The following is a 1512-nucleotide window of genomic DNA, read 5'->3' as shown; positions in this document are numbered from 1 at the left end:
TGTGATACTACATTTGAAAACTAAATGTGAACTTTAAGTCCATATGCATTACTTTCAATATTCATACTACAAGAAATGTAAATTAGAAATCATTTAACACGTAGGAATTGATCGATTATAATAGACACATAGGTTTTATAAAAGCTAGCATTGTCAGTATATAAACTATTTCTCTGAATCAAAGTACTTTTTAAGTATGTTATCATTAAAATAGAACAGGAGAAATTATCTGGTTCAAAATGTTTTTGTTCAGAAAACGTGCCATTGATAGATAAACCAATATGTTAAAAACAAAACAACTTAAAAATGAGGGATTAATAGTTAAACTCTTTTTCTTCCTATAAAAAATTCTCCATTGTGAAAAACTGGGAATATCATACATTAAAAAAATTATGTTACTTCTCAAATAAGATTTGACTTGTTATTTAATTATACCTTCACTAATACGTAAGAAAAACAAATAATATGTTAGTAAAAAGGTGAAATTTGAAAAATTATATTTATACTAAATTTTATGAACTGGAAAATATTAACTTTAATAATTTGATGGGACATACTATGTTTTACTTAGTCTTAATTCATTGAGCTAATTTTTGAAGAAACTTGCATCTTTAATTTTCATGATGCTATTTACATCAACGAAATGAGTAAGTGTTTAATGAAAAGAAAGGTCAGTGTTAAGTAATAATTATCTAATTTGTAGAATAAGAACACTTGATTGTTGTTTTCTGCAAATAGTGTTGAATGAAAATAGCACTTTAATGAACAGAACTGCATATACAACGCTAGAATCATGTAAAAGGAATTTCCAGTAATATAAAATTATAGTATTTCACAACGGAAAATGGCATAGACTGCATATGGAGAGAGTAATCATAATTCATAAAATCTGGTCAATATTACGTGTTTAAATTTTATGACAAAATACTGTGTAAATAAAATATTCAATCCATACATTGTATCTCAGATTCTTTCAACATAACATTTTTGAGAATTCCATATCTGAAAATAAAATGAAGAAAAACTCATACCAAAATAAAAACAATGTAAATGGTTTGAAAATATTAAATTATCCAAGACATAAAAAATAGTCTCTTCAAGTTTTTTGTTCATAAATCAGCTGCATTGTAACTTATTGAATATATGTATAACATATTCAACAATGTTTTCATAAATTATTGTTAAAATTTGTCCAAAAACTATTGCAGTATGAATACAAGCTTCCAATATATTTTTCAAACATTTGACAAAATAGGTAAAGATAAATATAAATGAAGGGCAAAATAACACACATACATCAGCCCTAAAATTATGGGAGGGAGCCAAAGTCACGGCAGCAACTTGGAAAAACTTGTAAGATTGAAGCATCCAGAAATAAGTGCCTTCTAGAGAAAGAAAGTTAAAAGGCATCCTGGCAAAACCAGAAAACTCATTAATCTGGAGGGACAAAAGTTAGAAGGTAAGTTGGCCCTTGTAAGACAAAGAAACCCAATGAAGATAAGTAATTTTAGT

Source organism: Homo sapiens, chromosome 3 (genome assembly GCF_000001405.40).
Source record: "Homo sapiens chromosome 3, GRCh38.p14 Primary Assembly".
In the NCBI taxonomy this organism is placed as follows: domain Eukaryota; kingdom Metazoa; phylum Chordata; class Mammalia; order Primates; family Hominidae; genus Homo; species Homo sapiens.
This window is presented reverse-complemented; position numbering follows the sequence as displayed.